Genomic DNA, 19,760 nt, shown 5'->3' on the forward strand with positions numbered 1-19,760 from the left:
CTTGTGACAAGTGGATAGCAGAGAGGATCCTAAAAGGGAAGGCAAGAGGATGACAGTGAACTCTGTCCTACATAAAAAGAGCAGAGAAGAGATTCATGCAACTATTAGTCTACTTATAGTTTAGTTACATGCTTAGCCACTGACCTGTGTCTAACTTAAATCAGTGAACTATCTGCTTCCCAGTTTTTTCTCCATCAAATGTCAGGGGGCAAGGTGAGATACCTTCTAGGGTTCCTTCTAGATCAGCTATCCTAGTCTTTAACTATTTTGTTTTGAAAAAAAGTATGGTATTTTTTACTTTGGTGGCAGTAGTGGTGGTATACATTTATGTTACCTTTATAGAGGTCTATTTGTTTTCTTTCAGGAAATCTAGACTGTCCTATACATCAGTGAAAAACTTTGATATAAAGAATTTTAGTCTTTTTTATAGTTTGAAGAATACTGCTTATTATAGCTCGAAGTTTCCATTTAAATATGTTTTATTAAAGCAAAAACTGAATTAATTTAAGTTTTTTTTAAGTAGTGGGAGTTATTTTAGGTGGACCAGATCAACTCATGATTTCATTGTTTCATCTTTTATGTCCACTTGGCTTACTGGCAAACAAATGGAATTAATCTTTAAACAATGGAAGAATTAGAAGATACCTCATGCTCAGTGGCTAACTGGAATTACTCCATAAGCCAACAATTGTATTTCACTAATGTGTTCGCTGTTGACTCAGGTTATCATGGTCTTGGAGAGGGATTGTTGTATTTTCATACAACCAGCCCTGCATGTCAGGTGGTTAGCTTTTGTTTTGAGATGAGCTGTAGAGGATTCAGAAGCTTTAGGGACTTAATAGCCATAAAGTGGGTTGGTTGACAAAGGTGCAGAATAAAAAGAGAGATCTAGAGGGCATTACTAACTTCTGAATGAAAGGTATGCATATCACTGGATTTTTACAGTAGCAGGTGATCATGAGTTACTGTTTTTAAACTTGCTCACTTTTGCCTTACGTAAGGGAGGTATTTTGATAAAATCCATGGTTACATTGTAAAATAATTATTCATCCATTAAAGCAATTCCAATGGTACTATTTTAGACATAAAGCATACCAATACTGTTTGTAGCCAAATTTAATAATGATACTACAAGAATTATTTTTCTACCCAAGAACTTTTTTTTTTCTCTTTTCCCTCCTTCAATTCCTGGCATGGGAGAGAGAATAATTTCTGTAAAACCGAAGTCTTTTCTCAAGACAACGTGATTATGCAGAACATTAGGTCTCCTTTTTTACCAAACAGGAAGTGCTTTGAACTTGTTGGATGATAACATGTCAGCATTTATTTTTGATGAACAACTCAAGAATATGAAATTGATTTGAATTAAAAATTATTTAATAAGTTTCATTTAATATTCATCCTTTGGAGCTGTAGTCAGCTCCAAATGAACTCTAATAATCTTTAAATCTGTTAAATCACTTTAATAATCTTCATCTTTTTAATTTAATTGATGTATTTATTGTCTTTTAATATCCAGAAAGATGACCATTTCTTACCTTGGAGAAAGGACATTAGGATTATATACCTCACTGGCTGAGTTTAGAAAAGTAGTAATTATCTTTCAGTGATAACAAGTGTATAGCTCATAATAGAAGAATTCATATTTCCTAAGATTTTTAAAGAAGTACTGCTCAATTTAGCAAAATTGTTACAGTTTTACAATTGCACCTCTTCTCTTTTTAGGTGTTAAATTGCATTTGGACTTTTATGGCTAAACAAAACAAATATTTCAAGAGGTAAGAAGGTACATGATGAACACACTTCCTTAGTTAAATGAAAATAAAGGAGTTTTAAAGAGGAAAATTGAACTAACCAAGTTGAAATAAGGTCTGAGGAAAATCTAGATCTCAGACACAAAGGAAATCTTTATCTTTTAAAAAATTCCAAAAGGCTTGCACTTATACCAAGCTTTTGAGTTGAGAATAAAGGCCAAATGCAATAAATTTAAAAAAAAAACCTGTTGGAAATGTTTAACGATATGCATGGAGACATATTCTTCAATCCAGATATGAGCTTGGAAATTTAATATGAAGCTTGTATTACTAAATGTGCAATTATAAAAGGGAGGATGTGCAGTGGCCTAGAATTTTCTGTACATGGGCTTGGACTTTGGGGAATGGAAGATTCGTGTTTGAATTCATGAATTCATGAGTTTTGTCATCATGTACACATCATGTCATTTGAGCAGCCTTAGCTTCCTCATCTGCAAAGGGACAAGACTATCAATTATTGCACTGACCTTTAAGACCATTTTCACCTTATTATTTTATAATTCTATGATTTATAATGGTAGTTTTTCTCTAGATAGCATTTTTCTGAGATCCAATTGGATCCTTTGATCCTTTGAGATACAATATTTTTGCATTTAAAATAACATATGGCATCCTTTCAATTACCTGAAGAAACAGAAAAAGGTTTATTTCAACTTTAAGAAGACTTATTTTTAATAATCCTGAAATTTTGAGGCATTAACTATTACTAGACACAGACCAGATTAGGAACTGGGGCTTATTAACATTTTGCTCTTCTGAAATTTTTATCATTAAGTCATTTTTGTGAAGAAGTTTCAAATAACATGGTTAAAATTCTCAGAGAATAACAGAAATGAAAATGAGTAAGATCAACATCAAACCACCACTATCCATCCTGACAAATGCCTTATAGTTCCAAAAATTCTCACAAACTGTTTCATAGATTTGGGCCTTGATCCCATCACCATTCCAGGAAAAAACAAATACCTACGTGAAGCAAGTTGGTAACTTAGTCATAACTCTTAAGATAGCTCTTGCGTTAGGGAAGCTGAAGTGTGAAAAGACAATGAGGATTTCCTTTCATTTGGCAGGACAAATAGGATTATAGAGTAAATCCATTGAAGAGGAAGAGAAACAAGGCACCTTGACCCTGACTGAACTTCCTTGTGTGATTCCCCCCAGGGGTGAGGAGAATGAGCTGACAGATTCTCAGTAATGCAGCCAAGGATGTGAAGAGGCAGGTCCGGAGCTTGCTGGAAGGACCAACTGTGCACACTCACGTTGGCAAGGTAATGAGTGGGAAGACAATACGTGCTCCAAAGCATCAAATGGCCTTGCTGTCCCTCTAAGCTTCTTCCTCTATTATATAACATCCTAACAAGGTTTTAATGAGAACCCAAATAGTGTTTTATTTAGCTGTGAACTGTAAACCACTTGGATACACTCTCCACTGGCAAAGTAAAATAACAGTTTTTATTACACCTGTGGTATAGATAGAAGGATAATGTAGCCAAATGAAAATCTAAAACAATCGATTGTTTCTGCAGCAAGTCTTTTGCTATGATTTGCCCCAAATATGCAACTTGATGGCTCAGCTTCACTCCCTTTCCTTTCTTTGACTCATGAGATTCAAAGAGCTCTAGAATGTTAAGGAGAGTCAGAAGGAACAGGACAGGAAATAGAGCAGTAAAAAGAAGAAAAGGTGCTAGATTTTATACAACCTGGGCAATCAGGACAGAAGTTTCTAAGACTTACTGCTTCAAATACTCTTCAAGGATCAAACTAATTAAATCAAACAATGTGAAAGGGAGGACAGTCATATTCATTCATTCATTCATTCATTCATCATTTGTTAAGTTACTCAACAAATGAATGTTTTATCGCCCACTGTGTCCTTGCTACAGCCTAGAGGTGAACTTGTGTCCATGACTCTTTCCTTCCTCTATAAACAGGTTCAGCTCCTCACCTGCCCTCCCCCTTGGGCTCAGACACCTGAAGCACACACTTCGCTGCATGCACTGCTACCTCTGCCTATCTTCCCAGGCTGGCTTCCTGAATGCCACTGGCTCTTCTTATCAGTTCACTGAATCTTTGCTCCTACCCTTGGTTTGGGTCCCATTCTTGTCTTCGTCATCTCCTTGAACTTAACCACTAGCTGAGCAACCCCTGATGAACATGATCTTCAAAATTCTGTTTTTTACTTCTCTAACACTCTCTCACTTATGAAGGCTCTCTTTCACCATGAGGTCACACGGCTCTGGCACAGTGCTTAGCACACATTAAGCCCTTACTCTATGTTTATTGAATAAATGAATGAGGGCCTTGGAGCCTCTTTGGCTCCTTCTACCCTTTCTCTGAGCCACAGATGTCACTTCCCCTCTGCTGTCACCTACAGCAACCAGCGTGCCCCACAGACTCACTTCCTATGTACTTTCAGCTCCGGAATCCCAGCTGAGCCAAGGCCCTGGCTTTACTTTACCTGGGAGAAGAGATCAGACCTCTACCCTCCGAAATAGCTGACCATTCATCTGGCAAATAATGGAACACCCTGACTGATTTCCTTGTGTTGGCTGTGTTAAAATAGCTTAATAATCTCCATGCAACAGAACTCCCTTGAGTAAATGTGAGTTTCAGACCCATCAGTGTTTGTGGCAATTATTCTGAACTGTTTTCCTTTAGCTAACCTGCTCGCATTTCTATCCTTCCCCTCACTTCCCAGATCTTACTTAGCTCAGCCTTCCAGGTACCCTTTCTTTTTTTTTCCTGAAAATTTTTTTTTTATTTTATTTTATTATTATTATACTTTAAGTTTTAGGGTACATGTGCACAATGTGCAGTTTAGTTACATATGTATACATGTGCCATGCTTGTGTGCTGCACCCATTAACTAGTCATTTACCCTTTTAATCTGATCTCTTGGAGCTAGTGTTTGTTTCTGACCTCTGATTCCTGATTTATGGCTCCCTCTTGTGGATATTGGCTTGGGTTTGCTCCACCAATGTATTCAGCCGAATTGGTTCTGAACAGCCCCTTCCCAAGCAAGGAGAGGTTTGAATAATTATAATATAATGATATAGTAATATGATACAACAGAAGTATGGCTAAGGTATATTACACATAAGGAAGGCCTAAGTCTGTCTGGGAGAGTCAGGTTAGCTATACAGAATTGTGAATTGGAAGGAGAAGTGGGAGGTTTCCAGGTAGACAAAAGGAAAAGATTGTTGGGTCATAGGACAATATACTTTGGTAATTAGGGTAATGGAGCCAGGAAAAAAGGGAGTCCAAGATAGGGTTCAAGCCAGGTTTCTGACTTCAGCAGCTAGGTGCCGGCCCCATATTAGAGAAAGCTGCAAGTTTAGAGTTGGTAGGTACTTATCTTGGTTTAATATGATACTTCATAGATAATGGAAATTACTACTAATACTATAAATTACTAGCCTTAAATATTCTTAAATATTTTGAACACATAGTTGAATATTTATAAGTGTCATTTACATTCAGGTAATTGATCAAAATATTATTTTGGCCACCATTAAAAGAGTTTTCCCAGTTTTTTTTTTTTTCTGTAGACCTCCGTGGTCATCCAAAGTCATTGATCAAGATACATATTTTGGCTTTAATGTACTCTTAGAAAAATGAAACTATATATGGATGCCCTTGTATATTATAGGCTTTTAGTATTTGACCCTGTTTCATTAGTCCAAACTTATGAGATTTATTCACGTGTTCATTTCATAAGAACGTTTTCGGCTTCTTCAAGGTGCAGGCCCTGTGTAATACCATGATGGTGAAGATCATATAAAATTGGGCCTATCTAGTGCGGCTATACTGGAAAATTTGCAACAGTGATCTTCCCTTCTGCTTCGTTATGCTCTATGAATTGTTAGTAGCTTTTGCAAAGTATACTTTACCTTAAAATTGATGGAATTAAATGTGTTGAAGGATAGCTCTAGCTATTGGGCTGTGTCATCACTGAGCAAGATTTTCATAGGTTCTGAAATATTGTCACTGCAGTGGCACCAATAAAATTAAGTTCAAAGTTATGGTAAAAGAGCAAAGTGAGTTAAGTGTATATTCTTTGAAAATACTCTTTATTTGATGTGAATTCTTCTTGACAGACAATGTAATTTTACTCAAAATTGAGGTCGTAATCTGCCTCGAAGAGAAAAATGCCACAAAACTAGAGCATATTATTCATCTTACCTTATCATGAGGTTGATTTGTTTATCTGTACTTAATTTTGGATTGGGAGAAGGTGAGTAGAGACCCATGTCACCTACTACTTACTTAAACCTGTCAGAATTTACAACTTTCATATCATTAGTAGAACAAATAATATGCATATATATTTTGCTTTTAACTTTTTAAAAATGGAAATAAGCCCCAGGGAAGAAACAAAAGTTGTTTTATCTTCAGTTAACTTAATATTTAACTTAAATGGGCCTAGCAACCATTTAAAATATCAATGCATTTAATTTCATTTATGAATACGGTATGTAAAATGAACACACAAATGCTAGATTACTACAGGGATACTAACTTTGTTGTTTATTTCAACTGGATCCTAAAGGGAATAATAATAAGAAAATAATTTTATGTGTGTGCGCACATGTGCATAGCCATCCTTGCGTTTTCTCCTGGTCTTTCATGGAGACCCCAAAGAATGAAGACAGTTGTTAATAGGGAGCATATGGTACCCAGCACAGTGTCTCTCACACAGTGGGGGACTCAACAAATATATGTTGAACCAGTGGAATTGCATCTGTCAGATCATTTTGCTTAGTAGAGAAGGCAGCTACCAAGCTTCTGTTCTGCTGAAATTAATGTTGCTTTCATTGAAATCTGATTTTCATAGGCTTTGGTTTTTCATTTGCAGAGATGATGTACAGTGTCTATTTTTTCACCAGGCATTGTAATTGTAGCTGATGAAAGAATGATTAGACAGACACACACAGTCCTTGCCCTTAATTGGCTGTCTCATTGGGGTGATATAGACCAACAGTGGCAAAATGATGTGATGATGGAATGAGTCAAGTGACTGGGAAAGCAAGCAGGCCACTTGAGTTCCAGAGAATGGGCCTGGGAGTAGGGACCCCAGAAAAGACTTGATGGAGGGCAGGAGTCCAAATGCATCTTGACATTTTTCTTTTCTTCCTTTTTAAAAACCTTTTGTAATGGAAATTTTCAAACATATACAAAGTAGAGAGATAATTTAACAGCTATCCTCACATAACCAATCTTGTTTTATCTATACTTCCTCACTCCCTACAACCCCTCAATAGGCTACTTTATTTTAATTAATTAATTTAAAGGAATTTATTTCTTACAGTTCTAGAGCCTGAGAAGTTCAAGGTCAAGGGGTCACATCTAATGAAAGCCTTCTTGCTGGTGGGGACTCTGCAGAGTCCTGAGGTGGTCCAAGGGGGTATCACATGGTAAGGGGGCTGAGCATACTACTGTGTTAGCTCAGGTCTCCCTTCTTTCTTTTCTTTGATGACATGAAACAGAGTCTTGCTACATTGCCCAGCCTGGACTTGAACTTCTGGGATCAAATGATCCTCCTGCCGCAGCCTCCGAGTAGCTGAGACCACAGTTGCTTGCCATAGAGCCCAGCTAAATAGACTATTTTAAATCCAATTTCATCTTATTTCATATTATTTCATCCATAAATATTTTAGTATGTATCCATAAAAGATCATCTCATTTTTACAAATAATTACAATACTATTCTCACCTAGAAATTAATAACAATTTCTTAATATTTTCAAATATCCAGTAAGATTCAAATTTCTTCTGTTGTTTCATGATTTTTTAAAAGGTAGTGTGCTTGAAACAAGATTTAAACAAGGCCCACACCCTACCTTTTGTTACTATCATATCAGAGTGTGTTTTGAATAGCATGAAGAACTATCCAAGGGAGTGTATGCCTTATGTAGGCAGGTGCTTATTTTGTGTTTCATTCACTGTTTCGTTATTGTTGTTGTCATGGTTGTTTACTGCTTTGGTTACTTATAACCTAGAACAGTGCTTAACACATAATAGGTGCTCAAAAATGTTTGTTGTATGAAAGGATGAATAAAAGAATGAGGTAGGGAGGCATTTCAAGCTGAGGGAGCAGTGTGAGTGTGAAGGTCTGAAGACCTGTGAGATCATAATGCATCTGCAGAACTATCCATTATATGTATGGCTGGAGCATAGAATCAAGGTGATAGTAGGACATGTGACTGAACCTAATTAGGGACCAGCTCATCCAGTGCTAAGCAGACTGATTTGGAACTTTTGAAGAATTTTCAGGAGAGGAGTGACATGATCAGATTTGCATTTTGGAAAGATAGTGGTTTCAAGTTGTGCCTGAGAGACCAGGAGATCCCTTGTAGATGGTGTCACATTCAAAACAACACCAATCAGGCAATGAAAATTAATTCAACGGAGTTTAAATGTTTATTGCAATGTCCCAAGAAAATTCCTTGCTATGTCGCCCATGCTGGAGTGCAGTGGTGCGATCTCAGCTCACTGCAACCTACAACTCCCAGGTTCAAGTGATTCTTGAGCCTCAGCCTCCTGAGTAGCTGGGACTGCAGGCACACACCACCAGGACCAGATAATTTTGTATTTTTAGTAGAGACAGGGTTTCATCATGTCGGCCAGGCTAGTCTCAAACTCCTGATATCAGGTGGTCTGCCCACCTCGGCCTCCCAGACTACTGGGATTACAGGGGTGAGCCACCATTCTTGTCATAGTAAACCTCTTCAAATTTTCTCCCTGACATCTCTTTCCTGCCAAAATCTGTCATGTGAACTTCATTCACGTACGCTGTCTTGAATTCGTCACCTTTTATCCTTTGCTCATCTATTTTGTATTCCTGCTTCTGGCCAGTAGTCCTGTAATATAAATCCAGATAAACTTCAGGCTTTTTCCATTTCCTCTTGGCCCATCAGGCCAGATGGAAGTCTTCTCAGTTCCATGGGGGCAGGAAGAAAGTTATATAGTAATGTCCATTCTTTGTTACTCTTACATGATGCAAACTTCCATAGGTCCTGCAGCATCTATTTGGATGATAGTGAGATTCTGCCCAATGCTGTTCCCCAAGAGTGCAAATCCTAATTATTACAGTTGAAATTGGTCTTTCTCCTTTTTCTGCCAGAACACAGTTCTGCCACATACTTCAAAATTCCATCATCAGTGCCTTGACAATGTGTACAGTTAATTGGAATGCCAATGCCACTGTTTAAGACTCAGAATTTTGCCTGGGTGCTTCATACACAGTAGGCAGCATTCTGGGGCTTTTTGATGAATATAGGTCCTCAGTGAAAGAAACCGCTGGGTGGGAGGGGAGGCAATATGAAAAGATGTGGGGCTGGAAGCCACCAGGGTACTGCAGAAAGCTGATTTCTTGTAGAATTCAGATTTTAGAAATGCATAAAAGTATATCCTCTTGGGATTAAATTGGAGACTGGATTGCTTTGGGTGAAATTTAGAGTAGCTAATGGGAGTATTGTGATTATACATTCTGAGCCAGTCATTTTAGATTTGTGTACATATTTTATAGTCTACTAATTTGCATAGAAGTATTGAAATCTTGATACTTTTAGAATTTCATTTAAGCAGCATGGACTTCCCAAAAGAAACCTTTATAGACCAATTATGATGGCTTTTTTCTCCCAAGTAGCTGCTGTCATACTATCTTTGCTTTTATTGGATTTCTTTTGAAAGTTTATTTAGAAACACACTTCTTTTGAAAAAGCCTTGGGGAGAACTCATGTACTAAAAGTATTAGTATCACTGTGAAAGACACCAAAAATGTCCTCTAATAAATTGCTAGAAGGAGGGTTTCTTTATATTTAGAATTAGGACAAACTTGAATTGCTTCAATGTGATAAATTGTTAAAATGAACTTTTTGCAGCTCAGTTGAAATTTAAAAGACTTTTCTCAAATGAATGTTCAAGGAAACAGATGGGGAAAGTACTAGGAGTTTTAAAAACTTATGTTCCCATAAAATAAAAGAGAGCATGAGTTTCACTGCTTGCTTTCCACTGCCAAAAATTCCCTTTTCCACTCTAAAAGGATATCAATATTCAAACTACTAGCAGTTACTTCTTAAATTTATGTTAATCCAGGACACAATTCATAAAAAAATGATGTGAAACAGACCAATGATAAGCCTTGTTGACATACTGAGCAATTCCATCAATGAAGTAAAAATTCTAGCAGATTAATGGATTGTTAGCACCAGCTACCATCTAGTTTCTCTCATAATTTCACAGATGACCAAAGTAACTTGTACAAAGTCAGTGGCAAAGTGGACACTAGAACTTCATTCCTTCCATCTCTCAGAGCAGTGCTTTCTTTTCCTTTTTTGTGATATTATGCTTCCACATGCTTTGCTATGCTTTTCAAATAAGTGCTCAAAATATGTTAAGATTTGTCAGTTTTCAAAAGGTCAGAATGTGAAAGGAGTTGCAGGACATGTCAAGGAACTTGAATTTTAACCTAAAGATGATAGGAGTTACTGATCACATTTGTATTTTAGAAAGTTTATTTTCTACACCTCACTATTCTTTGCTTGTGTAATTTATGTCTTCTCTCCATCTCTAATTCTTGTTACTTTTATATTATCTTGCAAGATAAATTATAGAATTGCCAATTGTATCATGTGGAAGTGGGTTCAGACTTCCTACATTTAGATTTTAGACATGCTTGCAGCATATGTGTATACTTATGGCTTTGAAGTTCTTTCTTCTATTGAGAAGGAAATAAATTGCAGAATGGCATATAGCTTCTGGCAAGAATACCATTTCAACTGCATTTTTGGAGCAAGGATTTTTTTACCCCAAGTCTGGTACAAATTATGATTTCTAACACTGGGTTTATTTTTATAGAAAGCATAATTTGTCTTAAAAACTACTGTTAACAGCCATGAAAGCTAAGGCCAAATATTAATGCACAGTGTTTCAATGACAAGCACTCTATCTTCCCAACTTTCAGTAAAATTTTGTGTAATTCATGAATAGTTTTTTCTCAGCTTTACTGAATTGAGAAATAATAAATTGTGTATATTCAAGATGTACACCTTGATGTTTTTATATACATCTACATTGTGAAAATAAAGCCAATTAACATACCAATCACTTCATGTAGTTACTATTTCCTTCCTTCCTTCCCTCTCTCCCTCTTTCCCTCCCTCCCTTCCTCCTTTTCTTTTCTCTCCCTCCCTCCCTCCCTCCCTTCCTTCCTTCCTTCCTTCCTTCCTTCCTTCCTTCCTTCCTTCCCTCCCTCCCTCCCTCCCTCTCTCTCTCTCTCTCTCTTTCTTTCTTTCTTTCTCTGTCTCTCTTCTTTTTCTTTCTTTCTTTCAAAAGTTTAATGTTGTTAGTGATGATGATGGAAAGTTGATGAGGAATTCTGGTCTAACAGATACTGGACTTTCCTGAAGTCAAGAGGTTTCATGCCAACTTTGTAAGTTAAGAAAGGTGATATCACACTTCTTCCATTGTTTTTTTCACTCTACATTGTGTTCAAATTGGCAAGCCCCAGGAAAAATATAATCATTATAATTAATCCTCCTCTATCATTTATTTTCATTGATCAAATCAATGTAAATCTGAAACTCCTAGAGCTATCTAGAATAAAACAAGCACTATGCTATGAACTTTATGTACATTCTCTTCAACAACATAGAAATACACATACTAAACTCAGTGTGTAAGAAAAAGAGAGGATTCTGTGCCAGATATCAAATATCTGTATCCAAATTCATGATAGAGGCATTAAGACTGAGGAATTTAATTCTCAACCTAGGGTATTATTGACATTTGGGCAGCACAATTCTTTTTTATGTGAGAGGTCACCCAAAGGCAGGACGTTTAGCATCTTAGACCCCTGACCACCAAGTGCCCACAGCACCCATCAGTCAGCAATGTGACTCTCTCCCTCACCTCTGACATTTCCAAATGCCCACTACAGCGGTAGCTCCATCTATGTGGAGACTAGATGATAATCAGCCTCCCTTTACTCAAATTTCACTCCTAAAATAATTTAAGAGAAATTATTTTAACCTTTTTGACCAAGACAAAATTCTGGACCAACCTACTTGACTAACCAAATGAATGGAACACTTTAGGCTGCTTCATGAATGAAGGCGGCTGAGGGTTATACACACCCCACTCCCTTCCCTCCCACTAACATGAAATAGAGCAGTGCATCCGTATAGTGCTGTAACATAGCTACAATACAGCAGGAATTGCTTGGAGTGTTTATCACAATATAGATTTTAATCCAGTAGGTTTGGACCAGGGTCAGTACCTGCATTTTTACCTGCCAGTGAACAGGTGACAATTTGAATCACATTTATCTGGAGTGATTTTACAGGATCGCTCCAGATAAAAGTGGTTCAAGTTGTTCCCTGTTCACTGCCTTAGAAGGTTTTTAACTCCAGGAAAACTCTTATAGACCCACTGGCAATAAAATTCCCTATAATAACAGCATGCAGAAGACAAGAAAGGTTCTCAGTAGAAGTTGAGAGAAATATTAGAGGAAGTAAAGCAGTGGTTTTGTCTTAGGTATAAGTCTTTTGAATAAAACAAGCACTATGTACAATCTCTTCAACAACATAGAAATATACATACTAAACTCAGTGTATAAGAAAAAGAGAGGATTCTTTTTTTATCTTTTTAAATCAAATATCTGTATCCAAATTAATGATAGAGGCATTAAAACTGAGGAATTTAATTCTCAACCTAGAGTATTTTGACAGTGGGTCAGGGTTCAGATGTACCTGAAGGGAGAGAAAATAAACAGCCTGATCCCTTGGGAGTGGCCACAGTTTTGGGGACTTGTGTATCACCTTCAAAAGAGATGAACCATGAGAATCCTCTCACCACAGGAACAAATCGAAAGGGAGGAGTAGTGACCTTCTGAACTGTTGTGGGGAAGAAGTCCATGTTCGTGAGCACATCCTTCCCTCTGTCTCCTGGGCTCAAGCAATCCTCCTGCCTCAGTCTCCTGAGTAGGTGGGACTACAGGTGTATGCCACTATGCCTAGCTTCTGTTTTTACTGAGATTGCTTTCAATAATGAAGAGTCTAATTAGAATATATATGGCTGGGATTTATTCTCATTCTTGGCTGATCTTCTATAGAGGGAAGGCATCGTGTAAAACCAATTAAAAATGACAGCATACTTCCTGTAGCAACCTCCCATAACTCCTCATTCGCAGGGATGGCAAACTTGAGGAAAGAGGTGAAATTTGTCTTTAGTGTCTCGTTCTCTCTTTACCTATTCTATTTTGCACCCCTCCCTCTTCTGCCACATAGGCCTACTAAGGAAGGGTTGGATCATAATCCCCAAAAACACAATTCCAAACAGCATAATTCTGAATGTTGAAATCCCAAAAGATCAAAATCCCTAAGCAGAAGATGGTAAAATTTAATAGGGAATGTTCATGTCAATGTATATGTAGAATCACAGAAGAATTTCCCAAGGAGCAGCACCATATAGAAAATGAATGTAAATGTATTCTCCAAGGAGAGCCTTAAAAGAAAAAAGCAGCTATTTATTGTGATGCCAGACTTCAAAATATAGTTAATAATCATGAAAGTTGGCTAACTCTTATGGACTATATCCATGCAATTGCCCATAATCTATTCCTGTAATTCACTTTTTCATATGTCAAGTTTTGTTTTTAATTGCTTTTTCTTGGCTGGGTGCGGTGGCTCACACCTGTAATCCCAGCACTTTGGGAGGCTGAGAGGGGGTGGATTTCTTGAGATCAGGAGTTCAAGACCAGCCTGACCAACATGGTGAAACCCTGTCTCTACCCAAAATACAAAAATTAGCAGGGCGTGGTGGCTGGCACCTGTAATCCCAGCTACTCAGGAGGCTGACACAGGAGAATCCCTTGAACCCAGGAGGTGGAGATTGCAGTGAGCCAAGATTGCATGACTGCACTCTAGCCTGGGTGACAGAGTGAGACTCTGTCTCAGAAAAAAAAAAAGAAAAAAAATTCTTTTTCTTTTTTGTTTTTTTTTCTACTGTTTTAAATTGTATTATTTTTTATCATTCTATATGCTATGTATTTCATGTTCATATCATTTCCCATACTGGAGGTATAAACTGTGTAGAATTTTTTAGAGACTTCTGATTCTGATTCATTTCATGCATTTTTTTTTTAAAAAATTTGACTCCATGAAAGTGTGTTATAATGTTCACTTTGCGGATAAGTATTGTGCATGTATGTAAAAACATTGAAACTTTCTCAATACATGAAGAGATGTCCTTTTTGTACATCTGCATTTGTGAAAGATAAAATTTTTCAAGATCTCTGATCTTTGGGCAACTGCATATGTGGTGGTGACCCATTGCACGTTCTGACTGATCTCATCAAACAACTTACATTGTTTGTCACAGTATTGCAGATGACTGCAGTTATAAAGCTGGGAGCACAAAATTACCAACCGTAGTCATATGGTTTATACATTTCTCTTTTGACCTGTTTCTTTATGAATATGATTTGTCTGCTCATAACTGATATATCTATGTGACTGTTAGCATACCTGAGTGTTCATGCTTGCAAAAATAGTTATGTTATTATTGCCTCTCTTATTGTGTAAAGTGGCCTATGAAGTGTTTTATTTTCTCAGGGCACAGGATCTTACTCTGTCTTCCAGGCTGGAGTGCAGTGGCTCGCTCGATCATGGCTCACTGCAACCTTGACCTCCAGGGTTCAATTGATCCTCCCACCTCAACCTCCCAAGTAGCTGAGACAACAGGTACATGCCATCATGTGTGGCTAATTTTTGTATTTTTTGTAGAGATGGGGTTTTGTTATGTTGCCCAGGCTGGTCTCAAACTCCTGAACTCAAGTGACCTGCCCGCCTTGGCCTCTCAGAGTGTTGGGATTACAGTCGTGAGATACTGCACCTGGCCTGTTATTTTTTAAATATGTTTTTCAAGTAAATCCCATTTTAAAAATGTAAATAAATATCTTTGAAAGAATTAAAATTTTTTTCCAGAATTATATTTTTGGGATTTTGATTTTTAAGGATTTCAACATTTGGGATTATGACATTTGAGATGGTATCTTTCAGGATTATGATTATAATAAATTCCTCCCCAGGGAAGATCCTCAGTCCTATTTTTCCAAAGGTTTGTTCTTAGCTAGTTCTTTTCTAATCCTCATTGGTGTCTTACCTAGAAAACATTTTCCTCTGGGAAATATTTATTCAAGTGGTTCCCGAGAAATGATAAGCCTTTATCACACAAAAATGAAATATCAAATGGTGAGTTCAGACACCCATGTGAATGGATCTTTTGGGCCATCTATTTGGTAGCCTCAAAACAAAACAAAGTATCACTCTTAAGGCTGGTTGTGCGACAATGTGCGTTTGAAATTCTCTAAATCATGTCAAAGTATGGAAGGGAACTTCAACAATTATATGATCCATCTATAGGTTTTCAGGCACATCAATATTTTGACATCTGAAAAAATGATATTTTTTTCTTTGCACAAATTTCCACTAAAGAAGGTTACAATGAATAACTAAGCTATTTCATCACAACAAAGTACAATGTACCATCATCTCTCTCTCACCTGGGCTGTAACAGTAATGCCCTAAACTGCACGGACTCTTGTTACCATTCTTGCCATTCCTTCCCCCTTTTCTTTTATACTCCCCTACACCCAGCAACCTATTTGGCACACTGAAGCCCAAGTGATCTTTTAAAAATGTGAATTAGATCATGCCAATTTTCTTCTTCAAATCCTTTGGTGGCTTCTCTTCCTTCCTGGGAAGAAGACTCATACGGTCGACAGGACACTCCGTGATCCTGACTTAGCCATCCTTCCTCCTCACTGTCACCTCCAGCATGTCTGGTCTTCTTTAATATCTTCCAATGTACCATCATGCTCCTGTCACTTCATGGCCTTTGCATAGCATCTGGGGACTTTTATCTGTGCTGCTCCAACCCCCACTGTCCCTGTGTTACTTAACCTGTATTTTTGGTCCATTGCACCTATCACTGTTTCTCTTTATTTATATATTTGTGTGCTTATTTGATTAATGTTTGTTTTCCCAACTAGACTATAAAGCCCCATGAAGTAAGGCCTTTGGGCTCTTCTACTTACCAGTATATCCCCAGTGTCACAGAAAGAGGCACATAGTAAGCTCCCAGTGAATATTTGCCTGATACAGGAATGAACTATCCGTTTTATCAGCAAACATGTCTCATGCATTAAGTTGAACCCATTTCTAATCATTAGAAGAGATGGAGAATTGCTGTTCACTTTCTTCTAGTTCTGACTTTGCTTTGGGATGCAATATACTATTACTTTGGTGAAAATGCACAGATGTCTCATTAACAATGAAATTGGGCAGTATACATTAATTTAAATATCATCAGTTTAGTTAACAACAGGTGTTGTTAATTTTATTCTTTTTTTCAGTTGATTAGTTATTCTTTGTGTTCAAATTCTGATTTGGTGGTAACTGGAAAGTGTTAACTCCACTACTTTTTCTTCTTGCTAGAAGAAAATTGCTAGAAGAAAAAGTTTAGTGTTTTTTTTTTTTTTTTTTTTTTTTGGTGTAAATAGCAGCATAGAGAAATAAAGCAGCAAGGGACAGAATAAAGAAATAAATGTTAGAATAAACTTTAAAATGGCAATAAAGAAATGGGAATCAGGGATAGGTTTCAAGAAAGAACCAGGGATCTTATGAGAGTTATTTATTTGAAAGGACAAAGATTGTTCTTTAAGCTGTATCAATCTCTTTTCATTTAATCTAAATCCAAAACAAATACAGATTGTATTTTGACTAAACTTTCTCCCATCACTAGATCTCAGAAAGTATTGCCTACATATGACCATTTTTTCTAATACTGTCTGTAATCTTAAAAATAATAATCATTTATGGGGTACCATATGCCAGACACCTACATAGAATACTTTATTTGGTTCTCAGCGACAGATATGATTATTATTTCACATTCTAGATAAGGAAACTGTGGTTCAGGGAGGTTAAGCAATTTGCCCAGACTCATGGCTTTGGACAGATCCAGATTCAAATCCCAAGTGTTGCTGATTCTAAACCCTATGCTCCTAACTCTTTTGTCTTATTTCCTCTTTAAAATGAGATCCCAACATTTGATAAAGTTTAAGATGTTTTCCCATTTTCACAGGCAAATTACTTAGAGCAGTGGTTCTCCAAATGTAGTCTTCAGATCAGCAGAATCAGCAACACCTAGGAATTTACTAGAAATGTTAATTTTCTGACCCAACACCAAATTTACTAAAATTAGAAACTGGGGGGTGAGGGTGGGATGGGTACAGCAATTTGCATTTTAAGGAGCCCTCCGTGTGATTCTGATGCATACAAAATTTGAGTACAACTACCTAGAAAAATGAAAAATTGAACAGCCCCTATTGCCATCTAAGCTAGTAACTGATCATCTGGCCCAACCATCCTACTTGCACTCCAGGAATCACTTCTGGATAATGTTTCTCACTCTCTCAGGTTCCTCTGCAAATCAGTCATGGTGATCTGAAAGCTTCCTACACATTTTTGTTTTGAGCCGGTGTTGCTATTTTTGCACAGGCTGGGCTGGGACTCCCAATCCTCCCGCCTCAGCCCCCTAGTAGCTGAAACTACAGGCCTGTGTCACTGCACCCGGTTCAAGGATAGATTTTTATTTGTTTGCTTTGTTTTTAGAGATAGGGTCTCTCAACGTCGCCCGGGCTATTTCTACAGATGTTGTTTTGGTTTAATATGGTGTCACATAAACTTACACTGGTTAAGTAAACAGGCAACATTTGAACTAAATTTAACTTCAATGTTTTGGTGGTCTGCAAAAGGATATTGTGCTTCTTGGTTAACATTTTCATGTTTCTCCACTTCTGCTTTCGTCCAGAACAGGAAGCGGAAGTTCTAAACTACTGCGAAGTCCTCTCTTGGTATTTCCGGCCTCGCTGAGACCAGAAAGCAGCGGAAGGGACAAATGTTTCTTGTTAGAGTCCCAATTTGATTTCTAAATCAAGGTGTACAGGATCAAAGGTCTCTTAAGTGCAGGTCCCAAACTTTGATCGTTATGTAAATAAGCAACTTGGAGCTCTCCTTCACGACTTGTAACACAGGCAGGTGACTGAGATGAGATCAATCAGAGCTGAGGAATGAGGGGAAATTCCCACCTAATAGCTGAAAGCAACAATACTTGAGTTTGTGCTTGCCTTCCCTTTCAATTTTCTAAGGTATAGGTGATCAAAATTCTTAATAAATTGAAGATTGAAGGCCTTAGAATCTGAGTAAGCTAAGAGGATATACAGTTTCCACAAATGAGTTCTTTCATTACAATAAAAAATAACAGAGGAACTTTAAGGCATTCGTTTGCTGCCAGGAATTTCAGCTGAGGTTGTGGGTTGGGGAAGAGGGTAGTTAATTTAATTAACTTCTGTTTTATGATCTCTTAAGATAAGTAAAGGCACCTGGAAGTAGAAGAAGCCGAGAGAAAAGATCGTACCATGTTTTCTATCTGTTATTTAGCTTAGATTTTCTGTTTCGATTGTTGTTTGTTTCTATAGGAAAGAATACTTATTGACAGTGAAAGAAAGCAAAAGAAATGGATTTTTTTAAAATAATGAAACTTCTAGATGAGCAAACCTGGAGGATAGTTTGTGAATTAAACAAATGTGTTTGGTGTATAATCAGGGAAACTGATAAAACCCACTCATCTAAAAAGAAGGTGAGAGTTTTCGGCTGTCACCAGGGTCTAACTTGGTAAGTCAGTCCCATTACCACATACCAATGAAGTAAAAAAAAAAAAGATTCATTCGGTTTAGAATCTTTAGAACCACTAGTCTGGTAGTGCTGTCAGGTTAAAGGATTAGTTGTTCAATATAAACCATATATTTGGACTAAAATAATCACATTAGCCTTTGTTAAATGTACTCATGATCAAGTGAGGTAACAATAGTGTTCTTCCTACTTTAGATTTAAAACTTGACATTTCTAATATGATCGATGTCTCCACTTTGCTGTCTGACATAGTACTGCTTAAACCTTCCTCAAATACTTGTATGCCATATATGTTTCTAATCTATATAAAATAATACTGATATATAAGCACTGTGTTTTCTTCTAGCTTAAAATAATAAGTCAATTTCTTGAGGATAGGTACAACTCTAACCTTAGATAAGAAGTTCTGGATTCTAAATTGAGCCCTGCTGTGAAAACTAATCTTTGCTTTAGATCTCCACCTTGTGGTTACATGTTTAAAATGTAAATTCTTGTGATTTTATGATCCTGGCTTATAGATTCTTTCAAAAAGAAAGGTAGAATGGATGAACATTGTCTGAAAATAACTTGAGACTTATGATTGGATATTTAGAAATTTATAATTCAGATTCAGTGCACTTCAGAATGTTTTCTCTCTGAGACCCTTGTTTACCACTTTTTGTTCAACTACCTTGAAAAATTAGTTTTGGGTTTCTTAAGGATTGAAGAGACTTTCAGAGACCATCTTTTGGGTTAGTGCTAGTACAGAAGGGGCTAATAGGAGGAACCTCATTAGTGTATCTTTAGTAAACTTGAATGAAGGGAACATATGGGTTTAGAACTTACAACTTCAGAACGCTGGGGAAATCTGTAAGAAATACTCCAACATTTACCTACCATCATGTGGTTTTTAAAAAAAGAAAAGAAGAACTACCCCAACGTGGGGTTTACCTTGGTCCAAGAAAAGAAGACAGTTTTCAACTATAACATCCTGTGACTTCATTTTCCAAGTTTCCTCATCACAATATAGAAAAGCTATATGATGTCCGCTGGGTATACAGCAGTGCTCTGTGTAGCTTAAAGAACATGTAGTTCCAGCATGAAGTTCTGCAAGAGTGGGCCTGGTGTGCTGTGTGTGAATCAACTCTAGAGCTCTTTGGATTTATATAAGTCTTGATTTACAGAATTTAGTTACAAAGCACAATAATAT

General features: G+C 37.1%; 1 long non-coding RNA gene across 2 annotated transcripts in view, besides 1 other annotated feature; it reads left to right on the forward strand.

Moving 5' to 3' along the window:
• LOC107985239 (uncharacterized) overlaps positions 1-4,432 on the forward strand; it is a 202,893-nt gene extending 198,461 nt beyond the window's left edge. Inside the window, exons 1-3 of one of the 2 annotated variants that reach the window (XR_001738339.2) lie at positions 1,724-1,778; positions 2,976-3,082; positions 4,231-4,432. This is a non-coding gene — a long non-coding RNA (uncharacterized LOC107985239). Of the gene's footprint in view, positions 1-1,723; positions 1,779-2,975; positions 3,083-4,230 lie in introns of those variants that run through there. The other variant, XR_001738340.2, reaches the window with a different exon arrangement.
• Positions 17,675-18,176: an enhancer, noted in NCBI's record as "NANOG hESC enhancer chr1:185663280-185663781 (GRCh37/hg19 assembly coordinates)". NCBI's record gives its function as "activates a minimal SCP1, AML or CMV promoter by ChIP-STARR-seq in primed H9 embryonic stem cells {active_cell/tissue: H9 hESC(primed)}" and the evidence as "EXISTENCE:reporter gene assay evidence [ECO:0000049][PMID:30033119]".

The sequence above is a fragment of the Homo sapiens genome, chromosome 1, assembly GCF_000001405.40.
Source record: "Homo sapiens chromosome 1, GRCh38.p14 Primary Assembly".
NCBI classification, from domain to species: domain Eukaryota; kingdom Metazoa; phylum Chordata; class Mammalia; order Primates; family Hominidae; genus Homo; species Homo sapiens.